At 36.5% G+C, this 16013-nt stretch overlaps 1 annotated feature.

Annotated features, from left to right (window-relative positions):
* Positions 1142–2341: an enhancer, noted in NCBI's record as "CDK7 strongly-dependent group 2 enhancer chr7:76357185-76358384 (GRCh37/hg19 assembly coordinates)". NCBI's record gives its function as "activates an origin of replication core promoter dependent on BRD2, BRD4, P300/CBP, MED14 and CDK7 cofactors, with strong dependence on CDK7, by STARR-seq in HCT116 cells {active_cell/tissue: HCT116}" and the evidence as "EXISTENCE:reporter gene assay evidence [ECO:0000049][PMID:35650434]".

The following is a 16013-nucleotide window of genomic DNA, read 5'->3' as shown; positions in this document are numbered from 1 at the left end:
TTCCTTTAAGAATGTTGAATATTGGCCCCCACTCTCTTCTGGCTTGTAGGGTTTCTGCTGAGAGATCCGCTGTTAGTCTGATGGGTTTCCCTTTGAGGGTAACCCGACCTTTCTCTCTGGCTGCCCTTAACATTTTTTCCTTCATTTCAACTTTGGTGAATCTGATAATTATGTGTCTTGGAGTTGCTCTTCTCGAGGAGTATCTTTGTGGTGTTCTCTGTATTTCCTGAATCTGAACGTTGGCCTGCCTTGTTAGATTGGGGAAGTTCTCCTGGATAATATCCTGCAGAGTGTTTTCCAACTTGGTTCCATTCTCCCCGTCACTTTCAGGTACACCAATCAGACGTAGATTTGGTCTTTTCACATAGTCCCATATTTCTTGGAGGCTTTGCTCATTTCTTTTTATTCTTTTTTCTCTAAACTTCCCTTCTCACTTCATTTCATTCATTTCATCTTCCATTGCTGATACCCTTTCTTCCAGTTGATCGCATCGGCTCCTGAGGCTTCTGCATTCTTCACGTAGTTCTCGAGCCTTGGTTTTCAGCTCCATCAGCTCCTTTAAGCACTTCTCTGTATTGGTTATTCTAGTTATACATTCTTCTCAATTTTTTTCAAAGTTTTCAACTTCTTTGCCTTTGGTTTGAATGTCCTCCCATAGCTCAGAGTAATTTGATCGTCTGAAGCCTTCTTCTCTCAGCTTGTCAAAGTCGTTCTCCGTCCAGCTTTGTTCTGTTGCTGGTGAGGAACTGTGTTCCTTTGGAGGAGGAGAGGCGCTCTGCTTTTTAGAGTTTCCAGTTTTTCTGTTCTGTTTTTTCCCCATCTTTGTGGTTTTATCTACTTTTGGTCTTTGATGATGGTGATGTACAGATGGGTTTTTGGTGTGGATGTCCTTTCTGTTTGTTAGTTTTCCTTCTAACAGACAGGACCCTCAGGTGCAGGTCTGTTGGAGTACCCTGCCGTGCGAGGTGTCAGTGTGCCCCTGCTGGGGGTGCCTCCCAGTTAGGCTGCTCGGGGGTCAGGGGTCAGGTACCCACTTGAGGAGGCAGTCTGCCCGTTCTCAGATCTCCAGCTGCGTACTGGGACAACCACTGCTCTCTTCAAAGCTGTCAGACAGGGACATTTAAGTCTGCAGAGGTTACTGCTGTCTTTTTGTTTGTCTGTGCCCTGCCCCCAGAGGTGGAGCCTACAGAGGCAGGCAGGCCTCCTTGAGCTGTGGTGGGCTCCACCCAGTTCGAGCTTCCCGGCTGCTTTGTTTACCTAAGCAAGCCTGGGCAATGGCGGGCGCCCCTCCCCCAGCCTGGCTGCTGCCTTGCAGTCTGATCTCAGACTGCTGTGCTAGCAATCAGTGAGACTCTGTGGGCGTAGGACCCTCCCTGCCAGGTGTGGGATATAAACTCGCGCTGCGCCGTTTTTTAAGCCCGTCGGAAAAGCGCAGTATTCGGGTGGGAGTGACCCGATTTTCCAGGTGAGTCCGTCACCCCTTTCTTTGACTCGGAAAGGGAACTCCCTGACCCCTTGCGCTTCCGGAGTGAGGCAATGCCTCGCCCTGCTTCGGCTCGCGCACGGTGGGCGCACCCACTGACCTGTGCCCACTGTCTGGCACTCCCTACTGAGATGAACCTGGTACCTCAGATGGAAATGCAGAAATCACCCGTCTTCTGCGTCGCTCACGCTGGGAGCTGTAGACTGGAGCTGTTCCTATTCGGCCATCTTGGCTCCTCCCACGTTTCATAAATTTCTAAGGTAATATGTCTGTCAATATTTTCAGTGTTTAGTGACAGAAATCCAAGGAAAATTAGTACCTTAAGGAAAAGGAAAATTTATTGGCTCATGAAACAAACAAGCAAAAAATAGGCTTTAGGCATTTGAATTCTGGGATTCGAAATGAAATGTTCTCTCTCTCTCAGCTCCCACCTTACCTTCATTCTCACTACAAGTAGTGGCAACGTGGCCAATGGCAAATTGAAGTCAAATTTCTCTCATTGCTTACACCTCAGAAAAAGGGAGTTTTGTTTCTGGTTAGGTCCAGCAAAAGTCTTAAGAGAATATTAATTGGTATAGCCTGGGTCAAATATCTATTTCTGTAACAATGGCCATGGCTAATCACTGGTCAGATTGTTCAGGACAGGTCATGTGTTTCCCTTGACAGAACCTGATCAACTTCTCTCAAACCACCTGAACTAATAATGAGTTTACGGTGGAACCGAGATGCCAGGGGTGGGGCAGGAGTTGGGGAGAGCGTAAGCATTGTTCTCCAAAAAGGGCTCCAGATGTTATATGCATACACTCACTACTGGTATCTTACAATTCTCTTTTATAGTTGAAAAACCTGAGAGCAAAAGAGATTAGATACCTTGATTTGTATTTTCAAGCTCATTAAAATCAGATCTAATAATTTAAAACTGTGAGTTACATAACGAACAGAACACCCAGTTACCTCATTTACCAATGAGAAAACTAAGGCATCCTGGGAAAGGTAAAGTTTGAAACTTTTAGAACCAAAACAAGATCATAGGTGTTTTTGTTTGTTTGTTTTGTCATTTTGTTTTGTTTTGAGACACAGTCTTGCTTCGTCGCCTAGGCTGGAGTGCAGTGACTCACTGCAACCTCTGCTTCCCAGGTTCAAGCGATTATCCTGCCTCAGCTTCCTGTGTAGCTGGGACCACAGTTGTGTGCCACCACGCCCGACTAATTTTTATATTTTTTGTAGAGATGCGGTTTTGCCACTTTCGCCAGTCTGAAGACCATAGCTTTCTTAGCACTCAACAATACTGTCATTCCAGGCTATTAATTACATTCTTCATTCTGTGATTCCAAGCTATTAATTATATTCTTTTTGAAAATTAATAATCAACAACTGTGTGTGTGCTGCCTCTATATCTGCAAAAATATGTGATTGTATAGAAACACTCTATACTATTGCAATAAGCAAATACTTCAGTGCTATCTAAAGGATAACAAAACTGGCCCAAATTGTGAGATTTTTTTTTCTGAGTTGATATTTTGAGTGTGAATAATTTTTATAACCTTTAATTAAAAGGTAAGATCTTTTAAGTGCTGACTTATACATCATAGTCTTAACTGCTTTTCTGAGATCTTTGATATCTAGAACAAAGGTGAATTATATTGGAAGAGACATTTGAAGCATTTTTTGCAGCTGAAATTATCTAATGACAAGTATTTATTAATATTGTGAGGTTTTTCCAGAGGTCTTTCTTCTCAAAGCATCAGCTTGGAATCCTGCCATCTAGCAGGACTCTATTTATTCAAAGAGGGTGCTTACTGTCAGGACTGAGTGCTCTACATACTCTCCTGGGAATTCAGAGCCTTACAGTTCTTGTATGAATCCTTTTCTCTATTTCTTACCTAAGATGTATCTACTCCTAAAACCATTCATTTGTACCTCTCTTTAATCCCAAAACTGACCTTTTTTGTGGGAAAAGCCCCTGTTGCCTGAGAAACATTTTCTACTTGGGAAGGGGTCAGGCAAAACCTAAACTTCATTTGGAGTTGAGAGTCACACTGATTCAGAAGGATGCTCCTGGTCATATTTGGGAATTTTATTTTGTAGGTGCAGTATCCTAAGAACATCTTCCTCCTAATTAAGCCAATTTTCACATAAATTTGAAAAAGAAGTGCACTTTTCAATGGGAATATATATATACATACATATATGTATATATACATATATGAATATATACACATATATATGTGTGTGTATATATATATTTTGCAGTTGGAAAAGGAGTCCTTGTAGAAGAAGATCAACATTTATTGGGAAAATTCTTTGGCGTATTGCTTAGAGTAGAAATAAAGAAGTTTTATGTCCTAGGAGTGGATAAAATTCATGTGCATAAAACATAAAAAGAATTTGGTAGGTGGCTCTGAATAGGTAAGAAGAGACAAGAGAAAAAACAGAAAGTATGTATGCAGTTATTTATACAGGAAGGACTCACTTTCCCTTCCTGTGATTCCCCAAATCATCTGGGACACCACCATCACAGAATACTCTGTGATGTGGTGTGTGTGTGTGTGTGTGTGTGTGTGTGTGTGTGTGCGCTCACACAACAAGTGAGGTGGATGGGCTGTAATTGAAAATAGCAGGTGCAGAGTCAAGAAGGAGGATATAGAGAAAAAAATATTAGAAATTAAACCCTAGAGAGTTGCAGAAAAATTTGGTGAGGGCCTACACATGGGTGGTAGAACTGGGATTCTTATCAGGTGTAGCCACTTCTCTGAGACAAAGAGCCTGCCATTCTTACATCATTATTCTTTCATTGTCTAATGGGCCTGCTTCTTTGCCATATGTCATTTTGGTCCATACACTTAACAACTGAGCATCTGCAACCCTCCACCCCATAAGTCACTGTGTAATAAGAAAGGACATTTTGTAAAGTTCTTAAGTCTTTTGAACTGCCTCTTACTGTAAGTGACAAAACCTGAAACAATGACTTAAAAGAACAGATTACTTACTAGCTAATACAAAAGGAAATCAGAAATAGGTAGGGTTTAGTGTTGGCTAATCCACCACTGATATGGTTAGGCTTTGTGTCTCCACCCAAATTTCATCTTGAATTGTAATCCCCATAATCCCCATATATCTAGGGAGAGACCAGGTGGACGTAATTGGATCATGGGGGTGGTTCTCCCATGCTGTTCTCTTGATAGTGAGTGAGTTCTCATGAGATCTGATGGTTTTATAAGGAGCTCTTCCCCCTTTGCTCTTCACTATTCTCCTTCCTGCTGCCTTGTGAAGAAGGTACCTGTTTGCTCTTTGCCTTCTGCTGTGATTGTAAGTTTCCTGAGGCCTCCCCAGCCATGCTGAACTGTGAGTCAATTAAACTTCTTTCCTTTATAAATTACCCAGTCTTGGGCAGTTCTTTATGGCAGTATGAAAACGGACTAATACTAGCACCTCAAAAATCTTCCCATTGGACTCTCTCTCAATTGGCTTTATCTCATTTCTTCATAGATTTGAGACAAATGCCCAAAGTAATAGGGGCTACATGTTTTCTCATTCACAACCATTGGGGAGAAATATAAAGCTTTCCTATTCTCTCTTAAAAGCAAGGAAGAACTTTCCCAAGGGCCTGTCATAAACCTCAAGGCATGGCTTGTTGTCCAGAATTGGTCACATGACCATGACTAAAGCAATCTCTGGCAAGTTGGTTGGGACTATCCCAGGACCAACTAAACCTGCTTCCAGATCTGGGGAAAAATTCCCAAATTATCATCTTGCTATTTGAGGGGAGTATTAATACACCACATTGTATCAACTGCCAAATATTATGTTAGATGACAGATAAAACTGGTACCCATTACTTTCCACCTGAGAACGTTCCAAATAACTGTAGAATAAGATTTCAATTGCTAAGACAAGTATGGAAACTTGACCATAAAACCGATTTTTTTTTTTCAGTTCTGAAAACTGTAAAGAGTCCTACTCATAGTGAGCAGGGCTGAGAAAATGATTCTAAAGTATTGCTAGAAATGCTCTATGAACTAATGATTTTTTGAGTTCTATGAGAATATTTTTTAGGTATTTCTGATTATTTTCTTTCTTTAAAACTTGACAAAATAAAGAGCATTTCTGAATTGTTCACCCATGAAAATGACAGAGCTCAAACTTGAAACTTTTATGTAAAGAAGGGAATCAGGAATGTTTATGCTTATATTACATTTTGTGCAGAAAATGATCCTTAAATGTAAAGGGAAATCAAGATGAGCATTTTTCTTCTCATCCATTCACATTGACATTGCCTTTGTAAGAGAACTCATCAGGAAGGATTATGTAAAGTATCCTGAATATTTTCACAGACCAAAGAGGGAATCAGCTCAAGGAAGGCACTGGTTAATGGTTTGATCTCAAACAGAGAGCACTTTCTCTGATGACCGTTGGCTGTACCTACATCTGATGGGTTTGTTTATTTTTAATTGCTCCACAGTTGTCCCAGAGTGTGAGAAGTCGAGTTCCATTGAGCTGGCACTTCTAGTTTTAATTTATGCATGAGTATGTACATTGTTTTTCTCCTGCAGTTCTCAAAGAATTTTATGAGCCATTACTGAGTGACTAAAATGGGTGCAGGTTTTGCAAGCCTCTGCCAGAAGATGTTTATTACTGTCATCATTCTTAGGAAAATCATGTTCCAGCAGGTTCAGGCAGTGTGCAAAACGTGGCACATGTGTGAATTGGCCATTTCACACTGCTCTTACAATATTGTCAGTAATAATAAAACCAAGGGAAAGACCTTGGGGAGGGGGATAAGCTACACATTAATTTGGTCATGAAGCTTTGATATGTGATCTTTGTTAGACCCAGAGATGCAAAGTGCAGCTGGTTTTGTAAACTTCCCACCATGGGCTGAGGCAATAGCTTTATTTTAAAAGTTCCCACTTCTGAGGGTGGTTCCTATCTCATGAATTCATGTCCAGAATGTAATATCCTTGAAAGCTTCTGGATGATTCTGTCTCTGTACTTGTTTTGTTAATTTTGAAAAACCACGTCACAGGTCATCTAAACTTCAGTGGTAAGAAAAGCAAAACCCACTCAAGGTGGCAATTCAAATTACAGCACATCACTAGCATTGTAAAGCCTGCTGCAAACACTTCCATATTCATCTTTCCACCTGGCATCCCTATATTTCTAGAACAATGTTTTGTCTTCCTTTGGGATGGTTGTTTTTTGGTGGTTGTGAACAGAGTCCAGACATGTGAATTTGTACACATATTCAGCTAAATATCTCAGGTCCATACCTCTTGTCTATTACATTATATTGTCCCTACTTCCTCTTTCACCTGTTTCAGTGCCACTTCTCTTTTGATTCCTGAGAGTAATTGTCATGATGCAGCCATTTTTATATATCCTCAGAAACACTCTCAATATTTATATCCACTAATTGTATATAATTTATTTATTGTAATAAATTAAAAATGGGGAACTTATGTTTAATATTATCCCATAAAGGTTAAACTTTATTTCAAAAAGTCTAAATCAGTAAACACTCCAAAATTTATGCCATTTATATAAATAGGTAGCATATATTGATAACCTCTTAGTTCCAGTACATATAAATTAGCGAGAATAATTTGGGTTGAATTTTCTAAGGAGGGCATATAAACTTCCCTATAAAGTTCTGCAATCAAGGGTGAAAATATAAACAGCACAACGGAGTAAAAGATGGGGCCTGGACTATCACCCTTATTATTATTATTATTTATTTGTTCATTTATTTTTTGAAACTGAGTCTCACTCTATAGCCCAGCCTGGAATGCAATGGCACAATCTCAGCTCACTGCAACATCCGCCTCCCAGGTTCAAGTGATTCTCCTTTCTCAGCCTCCCGAGTAGCTGGAATTATATGTGCGTGCCACCACGCCTAGCTAATTTTTGTATTTTTAGTAGAGATGGGCTTTCACCATGTTGGTCAGGCTGGTCTCAAACTCCTGACCTTGTGATCCACTCGCCTCAGCCTCCAAAAGTGCTGAGATTACAGGCATGAGCCACCGCACCCGGCCCACACCTATTATTAATTAAATCTAAGTTTAAAGCAATTTTTTTAGAGTTAGAGTGAAATGGGCTTCCTAAGTCTGAAGCTCAGAGTTAGAGAGCCTATCCATCCAGTCAAACAGACTGGGTCAAGATACCTCTTGCCTGCAACGGCAGAGACTGCCCTTTATACATGAGAGGCAACTTCCTCCCAGAGCTGAGCAAACTGTTCCCAATTTTAGTAATCAGTAAGAAGGCAGAGTGAGCCTTCTGTAGTACTTAGGGATGAGTCCTCTTCATTAAGACCAGGAGCATTGAACTGACTTTCCTACCTAACATTCCCATAATTACTGGATGTATGTGTGGTCACTGACTGAAATAATCAAATGAAAACTACAGCCAGTCTTTGTCTTATCTTTATTTATTTTGTTTCCCATAAAAAGTTGTCTTTTTTTTGTACTTTTACAAAAACAATGTATTTTAAATAACTCATATATTGCAGTCTAAATGAGATTTCAAGTACAATTTCATGGGACATACTTATGCTAAAATTTAATTGTTGTTTATCTGAAAATCAAATTTAAATGGGTGCCAAGTATTTTTATTCAATAAATTTGTCAACCCTAATTTTAAGGAATTTTATTTTTGTTTAAAAATGTTTGAATTCATCACTTCCAGCTCTGGTTCTAAATTTCCATGTTTTATCCCCAAGACTCACTTTTCTTCCTAGCTATTTAAAAACGGCCTGGTTTTGGGTTAGGGGTAATTGCCTCATTCCATGATCCAGAGATGATTTTTGATAGGTCTAACCCTGTTGAGGTAACCCTATGCCACAATAGTAATTGATTCAGGGACCTAAAATCTATACCGTTAGCATATGATACTTCTTTGTTGACAGATAATTTTTCTGGAATGGGCATATGATCAAATAAAAGGGCCAAGTTGAGTCAAGCTTCAAAAATAATTATGCTTCTAGGAAAGATGATTTTCAGATTTCTCAAAGACCTACTTGTAGCCAACTTTTGTTTCATTCTGAAAGATGTGGCATAAAGATATGAAGTCTGGAACTATAAGTCATTTTGACACCATGAAGAAAGTCAGTGCTGGGATAATGCTAGTACTATGGAATACAGGGAAATAAAATTAAACTGGATCTTTAATGGTAATACTGAGCTGCTAAACTGAGCCAAATATAATCCATTCATCCTCTGGAACTTCTGGTTATATTAGCCAACAAATCACTCATATCATTAAACATTCATTGTTAGGTGAGGTTGGGTTTTCTAATTATTACTATTATTATTATTTGAACTGTGAAGAGTCCTAATTTATACCAAACATTTTTATCCAATACAAATTGTTTTTGTTAAGGGATACTAATATTCTGGAGTTTGAAGGTGAAACGAATCACAAAAGTTCCTCTGTTATCAATATGAAATATTTTTGGACTCAGACCACAGTACGTGCTTAAATCACTGAGTGGATTGTAGTCAAAACTTAAAGTTGATTTTTATGTCCAAATGCTATGTTGTGCTCACTCTGTGATCAATTGCTAAATTGAGAATGCAAGGCAGTGAGATGATCACTGAGATAATTAAGACTTAATTCTCGAAGACTAAATTGAATACCTGGAGCTGAATTCAAAAACAAGAACGGTCCTAATTTGGAAGTGGCAAAAGAAAAAAGAGCTTTTATGAGATGTTTGAAACATGTCTGTAGACATCAATTTCCTAATATTTATTATTGAATATACACTTTTATATTTCTGGTTTTGGGTAAAAGTATTTTAATAGATGTCACAGTTTTCAGTGTGAAAAGTAGAAAAAAAGTTACAATTTTTCTTATGTTCCTTTTAGCTAGAATCACATAATATTATTGGAGGATGTGTCTTACCATTGATGTTGTCTTGTAGATACAGATAAAGAATATAGAGGTCTAACATAAAGTGCCAGTGAAATCAAGAGTGCCAATTTGATTATCACATGAGTAATGGTTTTAATTATTTCATTCAACAAATACATATTGAGTAGTTAATATGTGCCAGATGGTCTACTGCACCCTAGTGATTAAAAAATGGAAAACATAATATCTGCTCTCAAGTAACTCACAACCTAGTGAGAGAGACAAAGAAGTAAGGAAAATATTAGACCACAGCACAATATTTTATCATAGAACCATGAGTGTACTGGCAACTGTGGGAGCAAAAAATAAATAAATAAATAAATAAATAAATACAACTAACCCAGCCTAAAGCAAACAGATGCCTGAACTTCATCTTAACCCATTTATGCCTGAGGTTGCAATTTTTGAATATTTGCAATCAGACCTTGGTGATGACCTTGAGCAATAGGATATAAATAACTCCCACATACTTAGTGTTCCAACAATGGAACCCTAGGCATCAGTTGTAAAGCAGGAAGAAGAAACAGTAAGACAAGTAAGTGTGTGAGAAAGAGAGTTAGTGGTGGGGTTGTACGGAGGGTATTCAGAGAACAAACAGCAGATGGGTGCTGCATTTACCACATATGTGTGCTCAAAATGGCTAGAGTTTGTAATGCTTTGTAATAAATAAGAAGAGATGAAATTAGAGCCAAAAAATGTTGTGTGTTATATTGAGAAGTTGAGAATTTATTTAATCTTGGTGAGAATTCGTTGAGGAAATTTAAGTGATGGAATGATAAAGTATGATTGAAATCCTTCTGATCAAAATGAGAATAGGTACGAAAAAACAAAACTGATGACAAAAACTAGGTAGGAGGCTAAGTGTATCTATAATTTAGGTGGAAGTAATGACCATCTAAATTAAGGAGTCAGAGGTGGAGGTGGGAATATGAGAAGGTGTTTTTGGTTTTTGGTTTTTATTTGGTCATAGTCTGTGCCTATGGTTCTCAAAATTTCTAATATGAATTCTTTAGAATATATGAACTATACCTATTCAAATTCTACAGCAAAATATTAATCTGCATGTCTAGGTATGATATAAGAGGAAAGTTTCATTTTTTCTTCATCTATATATTCTAATTTTTCCCCTATGACCATATGTTTCTAACATAAATATGAGTTATAAAATATTTATAATGATTTGTTGATCATAGTTGGAGTAAAGTTAGCAAATCTTAATGTAAACCTTTTAATACAGCTGAAATATTATCTCAGAGCTAGCATTATTGACAGGTCAATTTATTTTTTGTTTATGAAGATATTATTTCTAAAGAATATATCATGTTAAAGTTAATTTTGCTTTTGATCATGTAAAGCTAACTGACAAGACTGACTTGCACTCCCACTTCAGATAACTAAGACACAGAAAAAGCATTATAAAAAAAAAAACTCCAGACATTTGAAAGCAAGCTGAACTGGAATTTTTTATATTAATAGGAGGCAAAAGAATCATAGCATGAACTTTATGATTACCATAGCTTCCTAACTGGAGGCACTAGACCATTGTGATAACAATAGCACAAGGAAGAGTAGGGAAAAATAAGTAAACTATTATAAGTTTGATTAATGTGAAGTGATATAACAGTGCTTGGTGGTAGAATTGATAAATTAAAGATGAGTGCTTTAAACCTTAGAGCAAATACACACATATACACACACAGCTAACATATAAATCACTAGGGGAGACAAAATATAATTATAAAAAATATCGAATTAAAAGAAGGCAAAGGAGCAAAACAAAAACAAGAAAAAGACATAGAAAACTTACTTATCTAACTATCTAATTATTATTCATTACATTAAGTGTAAATGGATCAAACACTCCAAATAAAAGGCAGAGTTTATTCAGACCAGGTAAAACAGCAAGACCCAAATGTATGCTCATACAAGAAATTTACTTTAGGTAAAAAGAAACAGATAATTTACAATAACAGATGGAAAAATATATATTATACAGACACTAAGCATAAAACTTTTGGAATGATTGTATTGACATCAAAGTACACTACATTCCAAGGAAAATTGCCAAGGATAAAGAGGTAAATTTCATGATAACAAAGGTTTAAATAATCAAGGAAGAATAAAAATCTTTATTAACTTATCTAAATGTGTATGCATCTAATAAAAGAAACTCAAAGTACATGAAACAAATATTGATAGACCTGAATGAAGAAATAGACATATCCACATTGATAGTTGCAGATTTCAACATTCTTTTTCAATAAGTGATAGCATAAGTAGACAAAAATCAGTAAAGATACAGATAACTCAAAAATACTTGAGATAGTATTGAAAAATACTTCTAAATTGTATTTTTTAACAAGAAAGTTGAAAATACTATCAACCAACTTTACCTATTGCAACTGATAGGTCTATATAAAGCACTACTTAAGAGCAGGAAAAGATATATTATTTTTAGTGTACATAATACATCCTCTAAGTTATATCATAAACTTTTCAAGTGTGTTAAGAAATTAAAAATATTGATATATTATAAAACATGGTCTCTGAACACAAAATAATTATGTTAGGAATCAGTAGAAATATGTAGAAAATCAACAAATATTTGGAAATTAAACAATATCCCTGTAAAACATAATTTCTCATAAATAATTTGAACTAAATAAAAATAAGAACACAACTTTAAAATGTGTAGGATACAGGTAAGGCTGTTTCCTTAGAGGAAAATGTGTTGCTTAAAATGCTTTATAACCTGGAAAAATGAGAGCAAATTAAACTCAAAATGAGTTTAAAGAAAGGAAATATTGACTATAAGGGCAGAAAAATGATCAAATGGAAAGCAGGTAATAGAAAAATAAGTGAAAGCAAAATCTGGTTTTAAGAGAGATCTGGTCAAGAATAGGAGACAATGAAATAACCAGTATCAGGAACAAAGCAGTAGCTCTCACTACAGATCCTACAAACACTGAAAAGATAATAAGGGGCTATGATGAACAAATATATCCTACTAAAATTTCCAACTTTGATGAGATGTACAAATTCATTCAAAGGTACAAAATTTAAAAATTTGAGATAAAGGAAAAAAAAGAACAACCAAAGCCCTGTCCTAATATATAGATACATTGAATCCATAGTTAAGTTTTTCCTATAAACAGTAGTCTAAGCTCATATGGCTTAAGAGATTTCAGTCAATATCAATTATATACAAAGTCTTCTAGAAAATAGAAGAGGGGAAGAATCCCTGCTTATTTCACAAGATAAGCATGTGCTTGTATGAAAACCAGACCAATACCCCTCAAAAACACAGAATTAAAAATCCTTAACAAAATATCAAATATATACCAATTGAGGTATATCTCAGGAATAAACAGCTGACTTAATATTTGAAAAATAATCAGTGTAATCTAATATATTAACAGAATAAAAGAGAAAAACCACTTTATCATGTTAATATATGGAGAAACAAATTTTGAAAAAAGTGCAGCACTGTTACGGGAAGTCAGGGACCCTGAACGGAGGGACCTGTTGGAGCTGCGGCTGAGGAACATAAATTGTGAAGATTTCATGGACATTTATCAGTTCCCAAAATTAATACTTTTATAGTTTCTTAACGCCTGTTTTTACTGCAATCTCTGAATATAAATTGTGAAGATTTGATGGACATTTGTCACTTCCCTAATAATACTCTTATAATTTCTTATGCCTGTCTTTACTTTAATCTCTTAATCCTGTTATCTTCGTAAGCTGAGAATGTATGTCACCTCGGGACCACTATTGTAGAAATCTGATTGTAAAACATGTGTGTTTGAACAATATGAAATCAGTGCACCCTGAAAACGAACAGAATAACAGCGATTTTAGGGAACAAGGGAAGACAACCATAAGGTCTGACTGCCTGCGGAGTCGGGCAAAAAGAGCCATATTTTTCTTCTTGCAGAGAGCCTATAAATGGACATGCAAGTAGGAGAGATATTGCTAAATTGTTTTCCTAGCAAGGAATATAATACTAACACCCTAGGAAAAGAATGGAATCCCTGGGGGGTGGTCTATAAATGGCTGCTCTGGGAGTGTCTGTCTTATGCAGTTGAGATAAGGACTGAAATATGCCCTGGTCTCCTGCAGTACCCTCAGGCTTATTAGGGTGGGGAAGAAACCTCACCCTGGTAAATTTGAGGTCAGACTGGTTCTCTGCTCTCGAACTCTGTTTTCTGTTGTTTAAGATGTTTATCAAGACAATATGCGCACAGCTGAACATAGACCCTCATCAGTAATTCTGATTTTGCCCTTTGCCTTGTGATCTTTGCTTTACCCTTTGCATTGTGATCTTTATTGCCCTTTAAAGCATGTGATCTTTGTGACCTACTCCCTGTTTGTACACCCCCTCCCCTTTTCAAGTCCTTAATAAAAACCTGCTGGTTTTGTGGCTCGGGTGGACATCACGGACCTACCAATATGTGATGTCATCCCTGGAGGCCTAGCTGTAAAATTCCTCTCTTTGTACTGTTTCTCTTTATTTCTCAGGCTGACCTACACTTAGGGAAAATAGAAAGAACCTAGGTTGAAATACTGGGGGCAGGTTCCCCTGATACAGCACTCATTTAAGTTTAAAAATATCAGCATACTAGGCTTAGAGAAAAAATTTCTCAACCTAATGAAAGGTATGTATGTAAAACTTACAGTGACCATTATACTTAGTAGTGGAATTCTGAATGCTTCCTTCTATGATAGAGAACACGGCAAGATAGCTGTTTTCTCTAATTCTATTCAGTGTTATAGTGGAGGGTCTAGCCTGTGCAAGAAGAAAAGAAAAATGAAATAAAAGATACATATATTAGAAGGCATTAATAAAACTGTCCTTGTGAAGAGATGACATGATTGTGTATATAGGACATTATAAAGAATCATCATCAACAATAACCAAAATGTTTAAAATAAATGAGTTTAACAAGATCTTAGGATAAAAGAGCAATATATAAAAAGCAAGTGTATTTCTAAACTAGCAAGACATAATTAGAAAATACAATTTCAAGTAAAATATACCATTTATAATGGCATACAAAAACATGGAATATTTAGGAATACATTTAACAGAATATATTCAAGATGTACACAGTGAATAACTGAAAACACTGTTGGAACAATTAAAAGATACTTTAAATATAAGTGAAATGTAAATTAGTATATAGATGCTATACAATCCCAGTAAAAATTCAGTCATGCTTTTTAAAACAATTGACAAGCTGTTGAGTGCAGTGGTTCATGCCTGCAATCCCAACGTTTTGGGAAGCAGAGGCAGGTGACTTGCTTGACCCCAGGAATTTGACCAGCCTGGGGCAACATAGGGAGACCCCTTCTCTATGAAAAAAAAAAATTAGTTGGGAATGGTGTCATGGGCCTGTGATCCCAGCTGCTCAGGAGGCTGGGGTCAAAGGATTGCTTGAGCCTGGGAGGTTGAGGCTGAAGTGAGCTGCTATTGCACCACAGCACTCCAGCCTGGGTGACAGAGCAAGATGCTGTCTCAAAAAAAAAAAAAAAAAAAAGGGAAAAAAAGAAAAGAAAAGCAGTGACAAACTGTTTCTAAAATTTTTATGAAAATGCAAACACCTAAAATAGCTGAAGCCATTTTCAGAAGGAAGTTGTATTGCCTTATTTTAATACTTATTTAAAAAGCTACAGTAATCAAAACAGTGTAGCATTGTTGTAAGGATTCAGGTAGATCAATGCAACAGAATTAAGAGTTTAGAAATAGACACTTTCATAGTAAATAGATTTTTTAAAAAAGATATTGCATTTATTCAATGGGGAAAAATAATCTTTTTAAAAAATTCCTATCCCTGTGGAAAAAATGAACCATAACCCATACCTCATGCCATACACAGAAATAAACTCAAAAACTTTAGAAAGCTTAAAATTTCCAGAAGAAAACATAGGACAAAATTATTGCGATCTTTTATTAGGTAAATGTTACTTAGATGAGATGCAAAAAACTGTAAATAAAAAGAACTGATAAGCTTGATTTCATCAAAATTAATACAGCACTTCTCTTCTTTGAAGACTACCATCAAGAAGATAAAAAGGCAACCTAAAGATGAGGTGGACATATTTGCATTGCATATATCTGACAAAGGACTTATATTCAAAATATAAAAATCATTCTTACAATTCAGTAAGAAAACTAGCAACCAGATTTTTTTTTAATGGGCAAAATAGTTGACTAAATATTTTACCGAAAAAGATACATTCATGACTAACAAACACAAAACAAGAGGTTCACTCTTTCTAGGCCTTACAGAAATAAAAGTAAAACCACAATGAGATATTGCTCTATACCTACTAGAATGGCTAAAATTAAAACTATTGAAAATAGCAAGTGTTTTCAAGGTTGTGGAGCAACTGTAAGTCTCATATGTTGCTGGTAGGAATATAAAATTGAATAGCCACTGGGGAGATCAGTTTGTCCATTTTTTGACAATACACCAAATCAACTCTACTACTAATTATTTACCTAAGAGACATGAAATTCCTTGCACTGAAATGTTTACAGAAGCTTTGTTTTCAATAGGCAAAAAAACCCTGTAGACCATACTAATGTCCATCAACGAGCGAGCAAGTGGGTGGAGAAACA

This window comes from Homo sapiens, chromosome 7 (assembly GCF_000001405.40).
Source record: "Homo sapiens chromosome 7, GRCh38.p14 Primary Assembly".
Taxonomy (NCBI): domain Eukaryota; kingdom Metazoa; phylum Chordata; class Mammalia; order Primates; family Hominidae; genus Homo; species Homo sapiens.
The sequence above is the reverse complement of the archived record's forward strand: the minus strand, read 5'-3'. Positions and strand labels throughout refer to the sequence as shown.